This window comes from Homo sapiens, chromosome 14 (genome assembly GCF_000001405.40).
Source record: "Homo sapiens chromosome 14, GRCh38.p14 Primary Assembly".
In the NCBI taxonomy this organism is placed as follows: Eukaryota; Metazoa; Chordata; class Mammalia; order Primates; family Hominidae; genus Homo; species Homo sapiens.
In genome coordinates this window covers 74390650-74410523 of record NC_000014.9, presented here as the reverse complement: position 1 = coordinate 74410523, position 19874 = coordinate 74390650, and the positions used below count along the sequence as shown (strand labels likewise).

Here is a 19874-nt window from a genome sequence, read left to right as displayed (position 1 = left end):
CCCCACACACAGGCATGGGGAAGGCTTCAGGACCCAGATCCTAACCTAGTACCCCCTCTTAGACTCAAGCAAGGCTGCACGGTCTGGCCCCCACACCCCATCGCACACCTCCATCTGTGCCCTGCACCACACCTGCCTTTTCCTGTATCCAACCACGGGGCCTTTGCACACATTCTTCCCTCTGCATGAAATGTGTTCTGCATCCCCTTCACCTCATTGACCCACACTCTTCCTTCAGATCTCAGCTCTAAGGCCTTCCCTGGGTCTCTGTGTCAGCTCCATCCATTGTGCATGCTTACATGCACCTGCTGTACTTCTTCAGGGCAGAGACTTGATTTTACACTTGTCTTCTCCACCAGACTGGAAGTTTTGTGAAGACAAAGCAGGCATCTGCTCCCTCTCCCTACTTCTCATCTTTCTCACCATGGTACCCCAAGCATCCAGTACAGTGCCTGGCATATAGCTGATGCTCAGTAAATATGTGTTGAATGGACAAATGACTAAGCCAACTCTGTGGGGTAAGCACTACTGCCAGTCCCAAGCCACAGACAAAGAAACGGAGGCCCTGAGAAGTGAAGTAGCCAGTTCCAGGTCCTGCATCTTGCAAAGGGCAGAGGCAGAGTTTGAGCCAAGTCAGACTGCAGGACCCATGCTCTTCACCACTTTAGGTCCTGCCTCCAGTGCCCTGGCCTCAGTGCTTGTCTGTCTTGCTCTTCTGACAGGCTCTGAGGACTGCTCAGCTGGCCCAGGCCCCCCTCCCCAGCAGCTGCCCCAGAACCATGGAGAGTCTGAGTGAACTACAGAACCCGCTGCTGCCCAGGAGCCCTGCCCATCTCCATGGCCCCTATCCCTACCCGGAGACCCCACCCAGCTGGTCCTGCCAGGAAAAGCTCTACTCCTACCTCCTAGGTGGCGCTGGGCCTGCCGGAGCCCACCAGCTCCTGGACCCAGGGTCCCTGCAGCTGGCCGTGGAGGCCTGGTACCGGCCCAGCTGCCTCCTGGGGAGAGACAAGGTCAAGGAGCCCAGGGCAGGCAGCTGTGAGACAAGCTTCACAGAGGACAGGGAGCCCCAGGAGGGGCCTCCAGAGCAGCCCACAGGACCTGGCCAAGCTGCAGAGAATGTCACCATCCAGACTGTGTCCTATGGGGTACAAGAGGAGCTGCGGGACCAGGAGGATGACCAGGAGGAAGAGGAGGTGAGTGCATGAGGTTAAAATGCAGATTCCAGCATGAGCAACACAAGGAGACCCCGACTCTACAAAAAAAAAAAATTGAAAATTAGCCTGGCGTGGTGGCATGTGCCTGTGGTCCCAGCTAATCAGGAGGCTGAAGTGAGAGGATTGCTTGAGCCCAGGAGGTTGAGGCTGCAGTGAGCTATGATTGCACCACTGCACTCCTGCCTGGTGATAGAGCAAGAGCCTGACTCAAAAAAATATAAATAAATAAATAAATAAATAAATAAATAAATAAATAAAATGCAAGTTCCCAGAGCCCCATCACCAGATATCGAGATCTAAGAGGCCTGGATTAGGGCCCAGGAATCTGTATACTACCAAAGAAAAGGGACTTGGGACACATGTACAGCCGATGCTTTGAGAAACACTAGCTTTGAGTTGACTATTTCATTGTTCAATAGCACTTGTTCTTGTTTTCTTAATTATATAAATAATTTAAACCCAGCACACTCAAAGATAACATTTTGGTGGATGATTGTGTAAGTCTCTTATTCACATTTTCCCCCAGCCCACTCCCCAGAAGAAATCTTGCTGTACATAGTTTTATAATCTGATTTTATTTCTCTAAGCAACATATTTTAGTATTGCTCCATGTAATTTAATGTATTCCTGAGAGGTGATTGTTAATGGTTACATGGTCTTCCATTGTGAGTTCTTCCATCATTTATTAACATAGTCTCCTGGTCACTGGTCATTGAAAGTGTTTCTTTTTTTTTTTTTTTTTTGAGATGGAGTCTCGCTCTGTCGCCCCGGCTGGAGTGCAAAGGTGCGATCTCAGCTCACTGCAACCCCCGCCTCCCAGGTTCAGGCAATTCTCCTGCCTCAGCCTCCCAAGTAGCTGGGATTATAGGCACCTGCCACCATGCCCAGCTAATTTTCGTATTTTCAGTAGAGAGGGAGTTTCATCATGTTGGCCAGGCTGGCCTCGAACTCCTGACCTCAGGTGATCCACCCGCCTCGGCCTCCCAAAGTGCTGTGAGTACAGGTGTGAGCCGCTGTGACTGGCCCATTGAGAGTGTTTCTCTTCTTTCACAATTGCTATCCTATGATGAACAACCCTGGATGTAGGTATTTACCTTCTTTCCTCGTGATAAATTCCTAAAAGTGGAATCATTGTGCCATTGTTAAGGCTTTTGGTAGAAAGTGCCAAGGCCAGCCTACATCCCCACCTGCGGCAGAAGAGACTGCTTGTTGCTCCATGTCACTGGCCACTGGGCATTGCCTTTTAAAAAACCTCTTGCCAGCCTGATGGGGCTGGGCTGATCCTGGGCCTGGTCACCAAACTCCACTGTTTTGCAGAGCGATGCCACTTCAACGGAGAGTGAAAGTGAAGACAACTTCCTCACGCTGCCTCCCAGGGACCACCTGGGACTTACTCTCTTCTCCATGCTCTGCTGCTTCTGGCCACTGGGCATTGCTGCCTTCTACTTCTCCCAGGGGGTAAGAGCACCTGGGGCCCAGGTCCCTTCTCTGGCCCGTCACTCTACTGGAGGGCTTGGCATCCCGTCTGCAGGATGGGGTCAGGGGCCTGGCAGGCTGGGCTGTTTGGCTGGGTGTGGGGACACTCCTGTTCATCAGCATGTCTCTCTCCCTAGACCAGCAAGGCCATCTCCAAAGGGGACTTCCGCCTGGCCAGCACCACCTCCCGCCGGGCCCTCTTCCTAGCCACACTCGCCATCGCCGTGGGGGCCGGTCTCTACGTGGCTGTGGTGGTGGCTCTGGCAGCTTACATGTCCCAGAACGGTCATGGCTAGTAGCCAGTAGGGCCTGCATCCTGACTCCCCTGCCCACCTGAGGAAGCAGTGGGGCTTGGAGTTGCAGACCCTATGGAAAGGCCCGGCCCCTGAAGATGATCCCGTGAGAGTGGCTTGCTGAGGGGGAGACCCCCATTCCACAGCCTGCAGAGCTCAGCCTTCACTTCTGCTTGCCCGCTGCTCCCAGCCCCAGAGCAGGGCCCGGGGCGCCACTCTCTAACCCAGGCTACAGACGGGAAACAGAAGGCAGGGCTGCCCACCAGGCCATCCCAGCAGGGCCTAGCTCCATCCATTCTGCCCATTCCCTAGAGGATCTCCTGCCCTACAGCCAGCCCACCACCTACCCTGCCAACCTCCCCACAGAGAAAGAGCAGGAGGTTACAGGGAGAAAAGGGGGTGCCCAGAGCACAAGGGGACCCGTCCCAATCCTTTCAGCCCACAGGGATCTTCACCTGGGGACAGCCTGAGCTTCCCCCAACTCCACTGTCTGGCCCCATCATGCCCAGACCTCAGCAGGCCAAGAAGGAAATACGTGGAGGCAAGGGGGCCTCTTGCTGTCTCTGATTCTAGAGGGTGCTTATCTCTGCATGGGCTTGTGAGGCACTGTAGATTCTAGATAGGGAAGAGGAGCCTCGGTATGTAAACTCTGAACCAAGGGCAGGTTCTTGGAGCTTCTTCATGCGGGTGCAAAAGGCAGTTGCAATGACAGAGAATAGAGGGTCCTGAAATATTGCTGTACTACATGACTCTTCCTACTCTCCCCCCACTCCCCGCCCCTATCATCCTTTTCTGGGCTTTGCCTGGGGGTCCGTGAGCTGGTGCCATCACAAGTAGACTAGACCCAGAGAGTGCCCTCAGCTCACCAGCCACTGAGCGCACGGCCCTAGGTCCAGCCCTACAGAAAACGCAGCAAGGAGAGACCCTAGGGAGTAGTGAGTATAGATGAGGGAAGGGACTCAGGGAAGGAATGGCCTGCTGAGTAGTCAGCGGTGCTTAGGAAGGCTTCCTGGAGGAGGTATCCCTTGAGCAAGTCCTAGGATGAATAGAATTCATCTAAGGGATTTGGTCACATAACTCTTTGTATTTGTAGGCAGGGATGTGGCAGGAACCTTCCATGGGAAGCTTCCAGGCTGTTTGGATTCTGCCTGGAACATCTGGGCTGGAGCCAAACTACAGCCATTCCTAAGGGTTCTGCCAACTCAAGGAGGAACGTCACACCTGTCTCTCAAAGACCAATGATGTTTTCCCATCTCTGAATGCTAGGGGGTCAGTGGTGGGTACCTGGTTACCCCTGGGGCATCTTCACTGATATCTCTGCTCAGTGCCAGTCTCAACACCCTCAGCCACTAGGGCACATCCAGAATTTTAGAGACATCTCCAGGTAGGCGGGGGGCAGCACCAATGTGGGCAGGCCTGTCTGGACTCAAGCTACAGGCCCCTGCTGTGCATGATGTGGGAACCTGGTCATTCCCATGCCCCATCCAGAGCCCAGGGCTGTGGCTCCACCACTGAGCATCCCTTGTCCCACTGTCCTCCCCTGCCTCGGGCACTGCCCAGCCCTCCACTCCTGCATCACAGCAGTTTTAAGGTCCCATTATTGTACTGATTTATCCTTGTAATAAATGTTTCTGTAACACCTGGTGCCCTCTAGGTATCTTGCTGTGCTACCTGCCCCGCCTTTGCCTGAATCCCATTCTTCTCCAAGACTGACCTGTTGCTATGTCTGCTGCTCTGACCCCTGGCAGCCTGCGGAGAGGACAAGCCCACGTATGGGCCTTAGGAGGAGTGGTGGCCAGAGTGTCTGCACCATCCCAGGATTCCTCTGCTTGGAGTAGTCTGGCTGTAGAGTGATGGCCTGCATTTGGCTTGCTCTAGGCAAGCCAAAGCAAGATCCGTGCCTGGAAAAAAAGCCCTTCTAGGCTCAAGAGCCTTGGAGGACAGGGAGGAAGGGATGTGAGCCAAGGTGACTGAGGCTCCATGGAGCTGCCTGGAGCTACCAAGGGTGGATACAGGGTGTGAGGGGGCCAAGGAGTCCACGCCCCTGCTGCCTGCTCCTTCACCATCTCTTCCATCCCAGGAGCCGCTCCTGGACCATGTGGAGAGGAAGGCATCTCTGCCTGCCTCAGGCCCCAGCTCAGCACCAAATCTCCAATATCCTCTCAGACCTGAGCCCCCAGGAGCCTGCCTGGGCCAGCACAGGGACTGGCCTGGCCTCTAGGTCACTTGGATGGAGGGCCCTGGGGAGGCAGGTTATGCACATCCCATATCCACGTGTGCACCTACTTGTAAGACACAGCTGTGCACGTATGCACACACACATGCTGCATGGGTTGCGAACCCCAGAAACAGAGATTAGCCTGTGAGATGGATATGAGGGGCTGCTGTTGGGATAACGTTTGTAAAAGCATGGAGAGGGAGGCAGATCTGGGCAGAGGGAGAGGTCAGGCTGCAATGCAGTCCTGAATGACAGGCTGGGCCAACCCACAGGGGAGCCAGAGTTGACCCAAATTGGGGTGAAGAGCCAGGTCTTTCCACTCCCTCATTGACCAGTCATTAGATGTGGGCCACCCAGAAAGAGGGTGTGACCTCAGGCAAGGCAGTGGTCTTCAGCTGAGACAACACAAAAACATTTGCCCTGAAGACTGTTTGCTGCCAGGACCTGCAGCAGCTGGAAAGCTGTCCATCCTTCCTGAAGGGATCCTGAGTGGCATATCACCACGTCCACCACACCCACCCACCCAGCAGCAGACGCCCTGGTGCCCACCTAGATCCCCTCTGCATTCACCTCTTCACACTGAAGGCTGCTTCAGTCGTGTTCTACACAGGTTCCCTGGGCTCCCCAGTGGGCCTGAGCTCAGTTGCCTGCAGCAGCACTCTGCTTGATACATGCCCTTCATTGGCTGATTTCCTCACCCTGCCTCCTTCCCTACTCCCCAACTGTGCTTCCTGGGATCATCCCCCAATAAACCGCCTACAATTGAACCCTTGTCTCAGGGTTGGCTTCTGGGAGAAGCCAAACCCCGGCACACAGCATGCACGTTCACACGCACATGTACATCTTCCATATATATGCACACACTTGCACATACATGTACCCACACACAGGCATACACATACACATAGGCACAGCCACACACCACGCAAACCTTTGTGCACACACACGCACATGTACACAGGCACAGCCCACACATGCACAAAAGCTGTATGCACATACACACACACACACATGCACCATGTGCACATACAAGAGGTGAAGAAGGAGGCTCACACCTGTAATCCCAGCACTTTGGGAGGCTGAGACAGGAGGATTGCTTGAGCCCAGGAGTTCAAGACCAGCCTGGGCAACATAGTGAGACCCCATTTCCACAAAAAAAATTTAAAAACTAGCTGGTCGTGATGGATGATGGTGCATGCCTGTGGTCCCACTACTACATAGGAGGCTGAGGCAGGAGGATCGTTTGAGCCTGGGAGATTGAGGCTGCAGTGAGCCATGACCACACTACTGTACTCCTGCCTAGGTGACAGTGAGACCCTGTCAAAAAAAAAAAAAAGAGAGAGAGAGAGAGATTATTTTTAAAAAAGGAGGAAGAGAAGGAGGCATGGTGGCTGAGGAGTCTCACCTGGCCCTGCCTGCGCTGTGGTCCCACCCATCACCAGCCTGGCTGGGGCCCCGGAAAGGGCACTGGGCAGCATGCACCCTGGTCCATGCCCTGCTTGGGCTGGGCGGGCAGCCTCATGGTCCACAATTCTCACCTCCTTGCCAGCCCTCTGAAATGCTGTTCCAGGCTTTGAGAAGGGGAAAGAGAAGCCAAACAATTTTCTATCTTTTTTTTGCGGGTGGGGGGATGGAGTTTCACTCTTGTCGCCGAGGCTGGAGTGCAATGGTGCGATCTCGGCTCACTACAACCTCTGGATCCCAGGTTCACGTGATTCTCCTGCCTCAGCCTCCCGAGTATCTGGGATTACAGGCACATGCCACCACACCCAGCTAATTTTGTATTTTTAGTAGAGATGGGATTTCACCATGTTGGTCAGGCTGGTCTGGAACTCCTGACCTCAGGTGATCTGTCTGCCTCGGACTCCCAAAGTGCTGGGATTACAGGTGTGAGCCACAGCGCCTGGCCACAATTTTCTATTTTCAACCCTGGACCTGCCCCTCTCCTTTTCACCCCATCCCTACCCTCAGCTGCAAATTCAGGCTCTGTAGGAGAAAATGGAATAAGAAACGAAGCCCTTGGGGCCTCCCTCATGCAGCCCCTAGAAAGGATCCATCCTTTGGAGCCCAGGCTTGTCCTGATCAGTCCCTGGAGCACAGACACCCACCCACCCCCTTCCAGCTTAGGGCCGCCTCTGGCATGCCTGGGGCACTTGAGGCCTCCTGCTTCCCAGCTCTGCCTGCGTCTGGCTGCCTGAGGCCCCTGGGAGGCATAGGGGCTTCAGCTACTCCCCTTCAGGCTGGTTCCTCAGGCTGGCAGAGACAGGCTGGGGGCAGGGAGGGTCCCCTGGGTAAAGGTGCCCGTGACGAGCTGCAATGCCAGCACATCTGTGCAAATATTACCAATTATTTTCCTCACTATAAACACCCAGCAGGAAGACAGAGAAGCAACCAACCCAAACTGTTCAAAATAGAAACTGAAATTGCTGCACAGGGAAGTCGGGGCAGCCAGCAGAGTGGGGGCCCTGCACCAAGAACCCAGCCCCGGTCCCCGCAGCTGCCCTGATGCTGGACCTGCTCTGGCTGACCCCACCCTCCAACCCCATCTCAACTTTCTCCCCTACAGGCCAGGCTGGAATGGGATGGAAAAGGGCCTCACCTAGGGGATGTGGGATATAAGGGAGGGTAGCCAAATGGGCCCTGTGTGGGGGTGGGCAGATGGCAGAGGGGGCAGCCACAGAGGAGCCAGGAACTGAGGCCACCTGGCCTGTGGTCCAGGACAGCTGCTGGGCAAGTGGAGCCACGGGGGCTGTGGGCAAAGGAGTGGGAGGAGAGCCTCCCTTCACTGTTCCCCAGCCCCAGGGAAGAAGGGGTGTCCTAAGGGTGGCAGGCCAGGGGTCCTGGGGGCTGGACCCAGGGGAAACAGTGACCTGGCCCCACTCCGAGTGACAAGAATTTTTCCGATGGTGGGAAGGACTAGAAACCCACTCCCAGAACCCCGGCAGCCTTCTCCATCTCTTCCTCCCGATGAACAGGGCGGATAGACAGCAGGTCCATGGACATAGTTGCAGGGATTGTCAGAACAGTGAAAATACTTCCACAGTAGTTGATAAACAGGCCAAGCCCTAAACCCTCCCAGTGTTTCCCTCTCCTGCCTCCCTGGCCCCTCCCCAGAACTCCAGACTTCTCTGCTTCAGGAACTGAAGTGTTAACAGCTGACACAGGGCCCCGCCCCCTCCCAAATGCGTCTGTCCATGCCTGACTGCCCTGGTGGCTAAACGGCTCTGATGTTGCCCCTGGGCACATGCACCACTCATCAGTGTGCCCCTGCACCCTGCTGCTTCCCAGAGACAGACTCAGCACAGTCCCTGAACCCCACTCAGAAGGTGGGGCAGGGGTCAGTGGCCAAAGGTGTGAGTCCTGGAACGCTGCAGCAGGAAGGAACCCGGGAGGTGATCTAGTCACAATCCCTCATGCTACAGATGAGACAACAGAGACCCAGAAAGGGTTGCCAGTTGCCCAGTGTCACACAGCAAGTCACGAGCCAAGCCCAGGCCTTGCCTCACAGGCCCTGGAGTTGCTGAGCTAGGCTGGTGATGTCTGCTTGCCTTGGAAACAGAAAACCCAGGGACAACTGCCGCTGCTGCCCAGTGAATATTAACAAACTTGCTTCTCTCAGCCTTCCTTCCCCGGCTGTTTCCGGCTTCAAAGGCTTCCCCGGCTGGCCCCTCCCTGGGGCTGACACCTTGGCCCTTCTATTTTTGGTGGCTTGGTAGGGGTGGGGCAGGAGAGCGACAGCCTTGCTTTTGCCTGCCCTGAGCTCATGGCAGCCCCCGGGTGCTCTCTCATCCTCTCTGCCATGGGGGGAGGAGCTACTCTGGGCGGGGGAGTCCCCACGGGGAGACTCAGATGTTCTGAACAAAAATAAAAGGTGCTCGTGTGGCCCATCTGCATTTCCAAATACTTCCAGCCCACATCCCTTGAACTGCTTTTACCTCTCTCCCACTAAAGAGCCAGGCAGGTTTCAAAGCCAGTTCTAGCTCCTCCAGGAAATGACAGAGAAAGAAACTCCCAGGGGGCAGGATCCCTCAGAGGCAGCCAGAAGGGGACAAAGGGGACAGTGAGTGTGCTTGCACCAGTGGGCAGGGCTGGGGTGAGGCAGCAGGGCCAGGCTACGTTGACAGAGCACCCTGGGTGCACAAAGGACCTTCACACCACTCTTTCTACCACTGAGGCTGGTGTTCTTGTCCCCATTTCACAGACAGGAAGACTGAGGACCTCGAGGCCTTTCCCAGTTCCACAGATCAGTGAATGGTGCCTCGTCCTCTGGGAGCCTGCTGTGGCTCCACCCTCACCCACTGCCTCCCTTCCTGAAGCCAACTCCTGGCCATTTTCCCTCATTAACCTCCGCCAGCCCTGTCCCTAACACTTGCGCTCAGAGCTGGCTGGCCCAGAGCACAGCCCAGTGGTTAACAGCAGAGAAGAGGGGAGCCCACCACCCAGTTCAAATCCCATCCCCAGCCTCTGTGCAACTTCGGGTAAGATGTTGCTTGGTGTTTTCTCATCTGGAAAACGGGGATCGTGATGGTGACTGACCCCGTTAAGATGACTGTGAATATTACATGAATTAACACTTGTATGGCTCCCGCAAAATTGAGTGTCTCGTAAGTGCTATATGGAATTTCTTTAAAATTATCTCCAGCTGACCACCATTTAAATGGCTTCCCTGCCAGAAGTGTGTCACCTCCCTCAGCCCCATCCCTTCCATAGCCAGAGATAATAGCCAAAGTCCTGATAGCTCTGGTCCCTGCTGGTCTCTGGGCAGATCTCGGCTGGCAGCAAGCTGAAGGCAGGGCCTGTTTCCCGTCTCGCTGCCTTTGTTTAGGCTGCTCCCCCTGCCTGTAATTCTGGTATCTGCCTCCACACCCTGAGATTCTTTTCCTCCAAACTGATAAAAATAATTTTCCAAGACACGTCTCAAGAAAACCTCATTTTCTCGGCAGCTGTTTCTGTCAACTCACCCCAGCCCCAACACCAGGTAGAACTAGCCACCCTCTTTCGTGAACCACCGCTACACCTGTTCATATCGACATGACGGCCACATCTAGACATCTGCTTTTCTGAGGGTGGAGCTCGTGTTTGCTCAGGGCATCCCAGGTCTGACGTGGGGACTGCCTTCCACAGACACTCGACCCTTGTTCACTGTTGACATCACTGGGAAAGAAGTGACTTGCCTCCAGGCTGGAGGGAGTCGGGGCAAGGTTCTTTCCACTTTAATTTCCTCTTCAATGGGAAAATCATCCACATCTTGGGGTAGATGGGAGCAGGGAGGAAGTCTCTAGGTGGCAAGGACTTTACAATTCCGAGGACGATCAAAGAGACCAGAAAGAGCAGTATGAGCCCGTGGGGTGCCCAGCCTGGTGGTATCTGCAAAGGGACACAGCACAGAACTTTACCCACCTCCTCCCCTCTTTCATCAGGGATGCCATAAAGACCACCCTTCTGGTGCTGCAAGGTCTGTGCTCTGTAGGAAGAATAAACAAGGGGAACAAAGAAGCCAGAGCAGCTGCTCACTGCTCTCCTCCTCTGGTCTCCCCCAGGCTGTGGGCTGAGGATAGAGAAGAGGTTCTTCCTTGGTTTCCTCTGCACCCAACTTAGCCCCTGGGTCACCCCCAACCCCCATTGTCCAAAGGAGCCTACAAGTCTGGGTACCACTGGCCTGTCCACAGTCACCTCTGAAGACCAAGGCCAGAAACAGGAGCACTTTCCCATCCTTCACCAAGTCCTGTGACTCTACCACTCCCCAATCTCCCCGACTCTATTTCCTGCTATCTCTATCTCCAAGCCCTAGTCCAAGCCCCCATCAGCTCTTACTCAGACTCCTGCAAAACCTCCTAAATGACCTATCACATGATGCAACATGGATGAACTTTAAGGAGATCAGGCTAAGTGAAATAAGCCAGTCTCCAAAGAACAAATACTGGATGATTCCATTTATGTGAGGTACCTCGGGTAGTCACATTCCTAGAAAGAGAAAGAAGAATGGTGATTGCCAGGAGCTGGGGGAGGGAAAAACTGGGATTTGTTTAATGGGCATAGAGTGTCAGCTTTGCAAATTGAGAAAGTTCTAGAGATCTGTTGCAAAACAACATGCATGTACTTAATTGTACTGAACCGTACACTTAAAATGGGTAAGATGGTAAATTTTATGCTATGTGTTTGTTTTGTTTTGTTTTGAGACAGAATCTTGCTCTGTCTCCCAGGCTGGAGTACAGTGGCACAATCTCTGCTCACTGCAACCTCTGCCTCCCAGATTCAAGTGATTCTCATGCATCAGCCTCCCAAGTAGCTAGGACTAAAGGCGCATGCCACCACACTCAGCTAATTTTTGTATTTTCAGTAGAGACGGGGTTTCGCCATGTTGGCCAGGCTGGTCTCGAATTCCCAACCTCAAGTGATCCCCCCACCTCGGCCTCCCAAAGTCCTGAAGTGCTGGAATTACAGGCGTGAGCCACCACACCTGGCAAGAAATTTTAAACATAGTTTATCTGTTTCCTTGTAAGTACCTTAGAGCAAGCTTGTCCAACCTGTAGCCTACACAGCCCAGGACAGCTTTGAATGCTGCCCAACACAAATTCGTAAACTTTCTTGAAACATTATGAAGTGTGTGTCAGTGTGTGTGTGTGTGCACGCACGTGTGTTTAGCTCATCAGCTATCGTTATTATTAGTGTATTTCATGTGTGGCCTAAGGCAATTCTTCTTCTAGTGTGGCCCGGGGAAGCCAAAAGATCGGACACCCCTGCCTTAGAGTAGGGGAGCGCTGTAATTGACACATCTCTTATTTGAGAAGTAGTGTCTGTTGCCCTTATCAGGTTTAATTACAAAATTTGATCATGATCATATTGTAGCCTCTCAAAGTGCTCTAGAAATTGTCAGTGGTATACATGAAGCGGCAGTGGTGTCTGGTGCACTCTGAAATGCTATCAAAGTTGTACATATTTCCAAACATTTTTAAAATGAAAAGGCACTCTTGTGTTCTCATTCTGTGCGCTTTGCTATTGGAGTGACAAGGCATTTAAAGATGTTTCTGGCTTTTTTTTTTTTAATAAGGTGGTGTTAACTATCTGGTTATTGACTAGAAATCCTGAGTTATCAATTGTATATCTGTACGGTTTGTAAAAAGAACAAAACAACCAAGGCAGACTCTTGACGGCTCCTTGCTTGGCATTGAGGCTCTGGGGGAAGATGCCTTTTGGAGGGGCTGTAGCTCAGGGCGTGCACTGTGAATCTGGACCTGTTGACTCTGCAGGGCTTCCATTTAGCTTCAAGTTGTCTTGTTTCTGCATATAGTGACGGAGCATTCTGCTGCCATTCTTAGCTGTGGACAAAGAGGGTCAGCCGGCATGAGAAGTGTTTGGGGGGTTTAGTTTGTTTGTTTTAGTTAAGTGTGGTAATTTTTAAACTTTTTTTTTTTTTTTTGAAACAGGGTCTCACTCTGTTACCCAGGCTGGAGTGCAGTGGCGTGACCTCGACTCACTGCAGCTTTAACCCCCTGGACTCAGGTGATCCTCCCACCTCAGCCTCCTGAGTAGCTGGGACTACAGGCACCTGCCACCATGCCAGGCTAATTTTTGTATTTTTTTGTAGAGACAGGGTTTTGTCATGTTGCCCAGGCTGGTCTCGAACACCTGGGCTCAAGTGATCCACCCACTTTGCCCACCTCGGCCTCTCAAAGTGCTAGGATTATAGGCATGAGCCACCACGCCCAGCAGAAAACTGTTTTTAAACAAACTGTAGAACTCCTCATTATCAGCAAAGCAAGAGACATCACGTCAATGAAAGTTCAAGAACCGTCTGTATTTAAACACGATTTGTAATGTTCTGTTATTTTTTGTATGTTGAGAATGCTGAAATGTGTTTGAAGTTAAACAAATGTATTACATGTTTTAAATATTCTAATGCTATTATAAATCTGCCCAGTCTCTTTTCGAGGATGATTTTAATGCGGGGAGGAAAAAAAAGCAACCCTCTGAAATGTTCTCCCTGCCTCCTCCCTGGCCTCTTTTTAGCTACATTGAATTTTCCTGAAGGCAAATTTGGTCGAGTCATCCTCCCTTGATTAAAGCTTTCAAAGGACATCTATTTCTCTTAGATAAAAAACCAAACTAACCTGCTTATGAGCCCCTGCCACTTCACACCACAACCCAAGCTCCCTGCACCTCACCATGTCTGCCTTCCTTCAGCCCTTCACACTTGCAGGGCCTTTGCATATGCAACTTCTTCTGCCTGAAATACTTTTCCTTTCCTTCTTGGACTAATTAGCTCCTATTCATCCTTCCTGCCTTGGTTCTAAAGGCACTTCCTCTGGGAAGCCCTCTTCTCCCCAGCCTGGCCAGGTCTATCCCCATGATTGAACATCTTTGAGCCCCATGTTCTCCTTCTTCAAAGCCCAGGTTCCAGCTGTAATTGTGCGTTTATTTCTCTGAGTATCAGACTAATGTCTGACTTCTCACATTATAACTCCTGTGCCCAGGTAGGTGACAGCTTAAGCAAACAAAAACAAAAGGACTGTCAAAGACTCGTAAAATCAACTACATAAATTGAAGCATCATAATAAAAAGATATAGAGTATTTACTCTGTGCCAAACCTTGTTCTAAGCACTTTACAAATATTACTCAGTGAACCCTTGGAATATCCCTAGGAGGCTGGTTCTATTGAGATCCCTGCTTTAGGGATAAGGAAACTGAGGTCCAGAAAGGTAAAGTAACTTGCCCTTTGTCACACAGCGAATAGGTGGAAGTTGGAATCTAAACCCAGCTAGCAAGGGGAATTTGAGCACAGGTCATCCTCCTCCACAGTTCAGGCACCTTGGTCATGACCCCATCCCAACCCTCAAGCCTGATGCCACTGATCTGTTTCTCTCTGCCCTCCTCACTTCCCCCATTGCCTCTTTCCTATTCCCTTCCTAAATGACACTGGGCAGGGTGAGGGTCATGGAGAGAGGAATGTGTGTTTTAAGGAATAGCCGCTCCCTGCAACCTAAAGAAGGCCAGCAAAACTGCCTAGCACTCGTGAAGCCAGCCAGTGGATGGTGATGACCAGAAATAGCCTTTGGTTTTCTACGAAGAGGACAGAGCCATAGGAACCCACATCCCATAGGGACCCAGAACAGACACCTAGAGAGGGAGCAGGGATCCTGGGAAACAGGACCACCAGGACCTGGGGAGGGGGTTGGTCCCTGAGTTGGGGATGACAGCCAGTATCCAGCTAGAGATGTGTGTCAGTGGCATGAGTGCAGGTCCTGGCTGCCATACCCTTCCCACTGTGCAGGCCTCTGCCCAGGAGACAGGCCATTTGCCACCCTGCCCATGCAGGGGAACTGTGTGTTGCTCAGGATAGCTGGAGGGATGTGCTGGAGCCAGAGGTTTCCTGTGGATAGCTGCCTGCTTACATTGGATAAACCACGAGCAGGCAATGAAAGGAGACTTCAGAGTTTTAGACTTGGATTCCAAAGTGCCACCATATGCCAGCTACTGTGCTTATTCTTTTTTGAATTAGCCCACATTTTATAGACCATAAAACTGAGGCTCGGAGAGGTAAGTTAAATTGCCCAACTAGCAAGGAAGTGGGGCGCCTTAGAATTCATTACGAGGTCTTCAGTCTCCAGATTAACCCTCTGCTCCTCAAACCCCATCTTCCAGTAAGGAAGAGTCTGAAAATGGCAGAAAAACTCAGGTGCAGGGACCAGCTTCCACTCCTACCTGAAATAATTCTTCACTTTCTTCTTTACCTCAACCTGGGCAGGAGCTGTGTCTGGTTATGTGAGCAGGGAAACATCTCATTACTCACCAGCCCTCTGCCCAACACAGCTGGCCCCCTTAACTCAAAGCCCCCTCCAGGCCCCCTACAGGCTCCAAATCCACTCTTTTCACACTCCCACAGCCTGCAGGTAGAGGGGTGATGAGCAGCCTTCTCCAGCTGCACCATCTCCCAGGGGCGGGATGTGGAGGATTCCACACTCCAAGAAGCCAATTAAGGATCCTCATCCTGGCAGAGCTGCTGGACCTGGTGCTACTTGAACACTCCCTGCCTCCCTCGCCCCTGCTCCCAGGAGTCTACCTGGGATGCCTCAGAGCTCCCCAGCCAGGGGCCAGGCCGAGTAGGATGGGGAGCTGCCCTCTCCCTTTCCACCAGCCAGCTCCGGCCCCTGCCCAGGCTCTGCCCAGACTCCCAACTTCCTTCCATGATTAAGCATCAATTAAATACTGACTGAGCATCTGGTAAGCATAAAACAGTCTACTATGTTCTCCACAGCAGAAAGCATCTCTTTTCTGCAGAAGTGAGGCCAGTGGGGATGGCCTCTATGCTGGTCCTTGTGCACACCAAGCATGCCCCTGCCTGGGCTTTTGCACTGGCCGGTCCTGGTCCTTCCTCCAGAAACAGCCTTCTCCCAGTGTCTGCCATATCTGCATTGCTCACTCCAACATCACCTCCTCCAGGCCATCCCAGACAGGCCTGCCTTAAGTAACCACCCTGCTCCTATCCCCTGACCTGTTTCATTTTTCTTCATAGCTCCCTTCCTTCCTGACATTTGCTTACCGGTCTGTTGGTCAGCCTTCCCCTGTTTGGAATGCAAACTCCACGAGAAAGAGACTCCTAGGTCTTAGTCATGGCTGACTCCTTGGGGCTTAGAACAGGGATGGGCACATGGGTTCCCAGTAAAGATCTCTTCAATGAATGAGACCCAGCTGGAACCAGCTCTGTGACCCCCTGCAGAGCCCTCCATCAACCTCCCAGGGCTTTGGCCTCCCACTCATAATGTGAAAGGATTGGTGCTTTCTAACTGGGGTCTTAATCAGGATCCCTAAGAGTGATCAAAAGAAGAATGGGGGCAAGGGGTCCATGAACTATTTTTTTTAATTGAAGTAAAATTCTCATAACATAAAATGAATAATGCCGTGGTGTTTATTTCATATACAGTGTAGTGCAACCACCACCTCCATCTAGTTTCAAAACACTGTCGTTACCCCAAAAGGAAACCTGCACTCAGCAGGCAGGTGCTCCCCATCCCCACGCATGCCCAAGCCCTTGGAAACCACCAATCTGAGTCCTGTCTCTATGGATTTACCTATTATGAATATTTCATATAAATGAAAAAATACAATACATGGCCTTTTATGTCTGGCTTCTTTCCCTTTGCATAATGTTTCTGAGGTTCGTCCGCATTACAGCATGCATCAGCACTTCATTTCTTTTTATGGCTGAACAATATTCCATTGTCTGGATAGACCACTATTTGTTTATCCATTCACCCATAAATGCTGTGAGCTATTTTTACAAGCTTTTCCCAAATCTGTGATAAGACCATAAAATTTATTTTGGCTAAAAACAAACTTGAAAAATTTGTTTTGACTATGCCCTATGTTTTCATCCAAAATCTGCCTACATTTTGTCTGGCTAAGATGAGTTTGGTGCCGGGCACAGTGGCTCACGCTTGTAATCCCAGCACTTTGGCAGGCCAAGGCAGGCAGATCACAAGGTCAGGGGTTCAAGACCAGCCTGACCAACGTGGTGAAACCCTGTCTCTACTAAAAATACAAAAATTAGCCAGGCGTGGTGGGCACGCCTGTAATCCCAGCTACTCAGGAGGCTGAAGCAGGAGAATCGCTTGAACCCGGGAGGCAGAGGTTCCAGTGAGCCGAGATCGCACCACTGCACTCCAGCCTGGGTGACACAGCGAGACGCCGTCTCAAAAAAAAAAATGTGTTTAGTAGACAAGAGCTTATAAAATACAAATCATAGAAAGAGAAGTGCTTGTAGAATCAGGACCTACAAGGACCTGATTCTATGGCTCTGGGTAAAATAATGCGGTCAGCCCCACCAGCACAGCCTCCTCTGTGGGTGGCTCAGAGTGGGCCACCATTCTCAGCCTTGTGTGCACTTTATCTTCACTCCTCACCCTCAGGCTCTCTGAGATAGGGACTGTCATGACCATTCTGTAGATGCGGCAGCTGCTCGAGGTCACACAGTGAATAGTGGTGGATTTGGCAACTGAGCCCAGACTGGGATTTAGAGGACAAACCTGTAACCACCCGGTGCTCAGCTGGTATCTTGGTCACACCTTGTCAAGCAGCCCTGCTGACCAGGAACCAGGTGAGCAGAGCAGACAAAAGCCCTGAGGAGAGGCGGTAGAGCTCAGTGGTCGGCGAAGGCGGGGCATGCACTGATTCAGGTGATAACAACCTGCTTCACGGGGTTGATGGGGCACTTAAATGAGACCAGGTGAAAATGCAAATCTCAGTGCCTGTGACATCACCGTAACTACTGCATACTGACTGCAGGAGAAAGGGAGCTCAGGCTTATGAAGGACATAAAAACACAGATAGGATAGAAAAACAGATAGGATAAAAACACAGATAGGATAAAAAAACAGATAGGATAGAACCTAACTTTCAGAAAGTCTAGCTGGGCGCAGTCGCTCACACCTGTAATCCCAGCACTCTGGGAGGCCGAGGCAGGAGGATCACTTGAGCCTAGGAGTTCGGGACCAACCTGGGCAACATGTTGAGATCTTGTCTCTATAAAAAATTTAAAAATAGCCAGGTGTGGTGACGTGTGCCTGTAGTTCCAGCTACTTGGGAGGCTGAGGTGGGAGGATCCCTTGAGATGAGGAGGTTGAGGCTGCAGTATGTTGTGACCACGCCACTGCACTCCAGCCTGGGTGAAAGAGCAAGACCCTGTCTCAAAAAAAAAAAAAAATTCCTAAAAGGTGGTATTCTAAAGAGGGAGAGGGAGCCACACCAGTGATCACACAGTAGTCACTTTGGCATATGGGCTTTGGTTTCATTGTCTATAAAATGTCCCTACTATGTTTCACATATACCCTTATTAAAGTACCTACTGATTTCAATCATTTGTTTGCATGCCTGTCTCCTTATTCTACTGTGAGCTCCTCGAAGGCAGAATCCCATCTGTTCATCTGTGAACCCCTGTGCCTAGCATATGCCCAGCCTAGGCCCATGGGAGTTTAGAAAATGTTTGAGAAATAAACAACTGTGAACTCTGAGGACCTTTCCAGCTCAGAACTTCTCCAAGTCTGAGTTTTCAGTTCAACAAATAATCCGTGGTGCACTGGCCTGGGCACTGCAGGACACAAAGAGATAAGCCAATAAGACTTCAACACTATTCCAAGAACAGGTATTTGTGATGAATCAATTTTTAGGAAGTCATACTGCAGATACTCTTGTCCACCTGCCCAAAGATGTAGGCTCAAGGATTCTCACTGAAGCCTTGTGTTATGGTAGCATTAAAAGATTGGAAACAGGCCTGGCGAGATGGTGCATGTCTGTAATCCCAGCTTTTTAGGAGGCCAAGGCGGGAGGATCACTTGAGCTCAGGAGTTTGAGACCAGTCTGGGCAACACAGCGAGACACCATCTCTACAACAAATACAAAAATCAGCCTGGCATGGTGGCATGTGCCTGTAGTCCCAGCTACTCAGGAGGATGAAATGGGAGGATCACTTGAGCCCGGGAGGTCGAGGCTGCAGTGAACCAAGATCACACCACTGCACTCCAGCCTGGGTGATAGAGCCATACCCTGTCTCGGAAAAAAAAAAAAAAAAAAAAGATTGGAAACAACCTAAATGCCAATCAGTAGAGGGCTGGCTGCATAAATGCTGTTATAGTCATCTAATGGAATGCTATGTAGACATTAAAAAGAATGAAGCAGGCTTAAATATGCAAAACATGATACAATCTCTGAGACAGATAATTCAGTGCAAAAATAAATTTACAGAAGTCTATGTACTATCCTATTTGTGTGGTTTTTGCCCAAGGAATACATACATACTTAACAAATGCAAAGACTAGCTCTAGAACAGTGCTGTCCAATAAAATCATAATGTAAGCCACAATTGCAAGCCATGTCTGTAATTATGTAATTTTAAATTTTCCAGTATTCTCATTAAAGAATAAAACAAAATAGGGGAAATTAATATTAATATATTTTACTTAACTCAATATAGCCAAAATATTATTGTTTGAACATTTAATCAATCTTTTTAAATTACTTTGTATCTATATTTTTGTACCAAGTATTTGAAATCTGTATATATTTTACACTTACGACACATCTCAATTCAAACTAGCCACATTTCAAGTGCTCCATAGTCACATGCCACCATACTGGACAGGACAGTTCTGGAAGGACTTCAGAGGATGGTAACAATAGAGATTTCAGGTAATTGAAAATCAGGAAAGGGGCTGGGGGCAGTGGCTCATGCCTGTAATCCCAGCACTCTGGGAGGCCGAGGAGGGCAGATCATCTGAGGTCAGGAGTTCGAGACCAGCCTGGCCAACATGGCAAAACCACATCTCTACTAAAAATACAAAAATTAGCTGGGTGTGGTGGCACACGCCTATAATTCCAGCCACTCAGGAGGCTGAGGCAGGAGAATCACTTGAACCTGGGAGGCGGAGGTTGCAGTGAGCCAAGATCACACCACTCCACTCCAGCCTGGGTGACAGAGCAAGACTCTGTCTCAAAAAAAAAAAAAAGAAGAAGAAGAAAGAAAGAAAGGAATGAAGGAAGGAAGGATGAAAGAAAGAAAGGGGGAAAGAAAGAAAGAAAAAAGAAGAGAAGAGAAAAAAAGAAAGAAAAGAGGGAGGGAAGGAAGGAAGGAAGGAAGGAAGGAAGGAAGGAAGGAAGGAAAGAAAGAAATCAGGAAA

General features: G+C 50.9%; 1 protein-coding gene across 2 annotated transcripts in view, besides 5 other annotated features; it reads left to right on the top strand.

Moving 5' to 3' along the window:
• SYNDIG1L (synapse differentiation inducing 1 like) overlaps positions 1–4625 on the top strand; it is a 74245-nt gene extending 69620 nt beyond the window's left edge. For both annotated transcript variants that reach the window (XM_017021600.2, NM_001105579.2), the window contains exons 2-4: positions 723–1196; positions 2535–2675; positions 2831–4625. In XM_017021600.2, coding sequence (XP_016877089.1) covers positions 780–1196; positions 2535–2675; positions 2831–2989 — 717 coding nt within the window. In that variant the 5' untranslated portion in view covers positions 723–779 and the 3' untranslated portion in view covers positions 2990–4625. The remainder of the gene's footprint in view (positions 1–722; positions 1197–2534; positions 2676–2830) is intronic.
• Positions 387–934: an enhancer, noted in NCBI's record as "H3K4me1 hESC enhancer chr14:74876293-74876840 (GRCh37/hg19 assembly coordinates)". NCBI's record gives its function as "activates a minimal SCP1, AML or CMV promoter by ChIP-STARR-seq in primed H9 embryonic stem cells {active_cell/tissue: H9 hESC(primed)}" and the evidence as "EXISTENCE:reporter gene assay evidence [ECO:0000049][PMID:30033119]".
• Positions 2885–3386: an enhancer, noted in NCBI's record as "H3K4me1 hESC enhancer chr14:74873841-74874342 (GRCh37/hg19 assembly coordinates)". NCBI's record gives its function as "activates a minimal SCP1, AML or CMV promoter by ChIP-STARR-seq in primed H9 embryonic stem cells {active_cell/tissue: H9 hESC(primed)}" and the evidence as "EXISTENCE:reporter gene assay evidence [ECO:0000049][PMID:30033119]".
• Positions 8063–8972: an enhancer, noted in NCBI's record as "H3K27ac-H3K4me1 hESC enhancer chr14:74868255-74869164 (GRCh37/hg19 assembly coordinates)". NCBI's record gives its function as "activates a minimal SCP1, AML or CMV promoter by ChIP-STARR-seq in naive H9 embryonic stem cells {active_cell/tissue: H9 hESC(naive)}" and the evidence as "EXISTENCE:reporter gene assay evidence [ECO:0000049][PMID:30033119]".
• Positions 8516–8845: an enhancer, noted in NCBI's record as "active region_8727". NCBI's record gives its function as "activates an Ori minimal core promoter by ATAC-STARR-seq in GM12878 lymphoblastoid cells {active_cell/tissue: GM12878}" and the evidence as "EXISTENCE:reporter gene assay evidence [ECO:0000049][PMID:35858748]".
• Positions 14836–15336: an enhancer, noted in NCBI's record as "H3K4me1 hESC enhancer chr14:74861891-74862391 (GRCh37/hg19 assembly coordinates)". NCBI's record gives its function as "activates a minimal SCP1, AML or CMV promoter by ChIP-STARR-seq in naive H9 embryonic stem cells {active_cell/tissue: H9 hESC(naive)}" and the evidence as "EXISTENCE:reporter gene assay evidence [ECO:0000049][PMID:30033119]".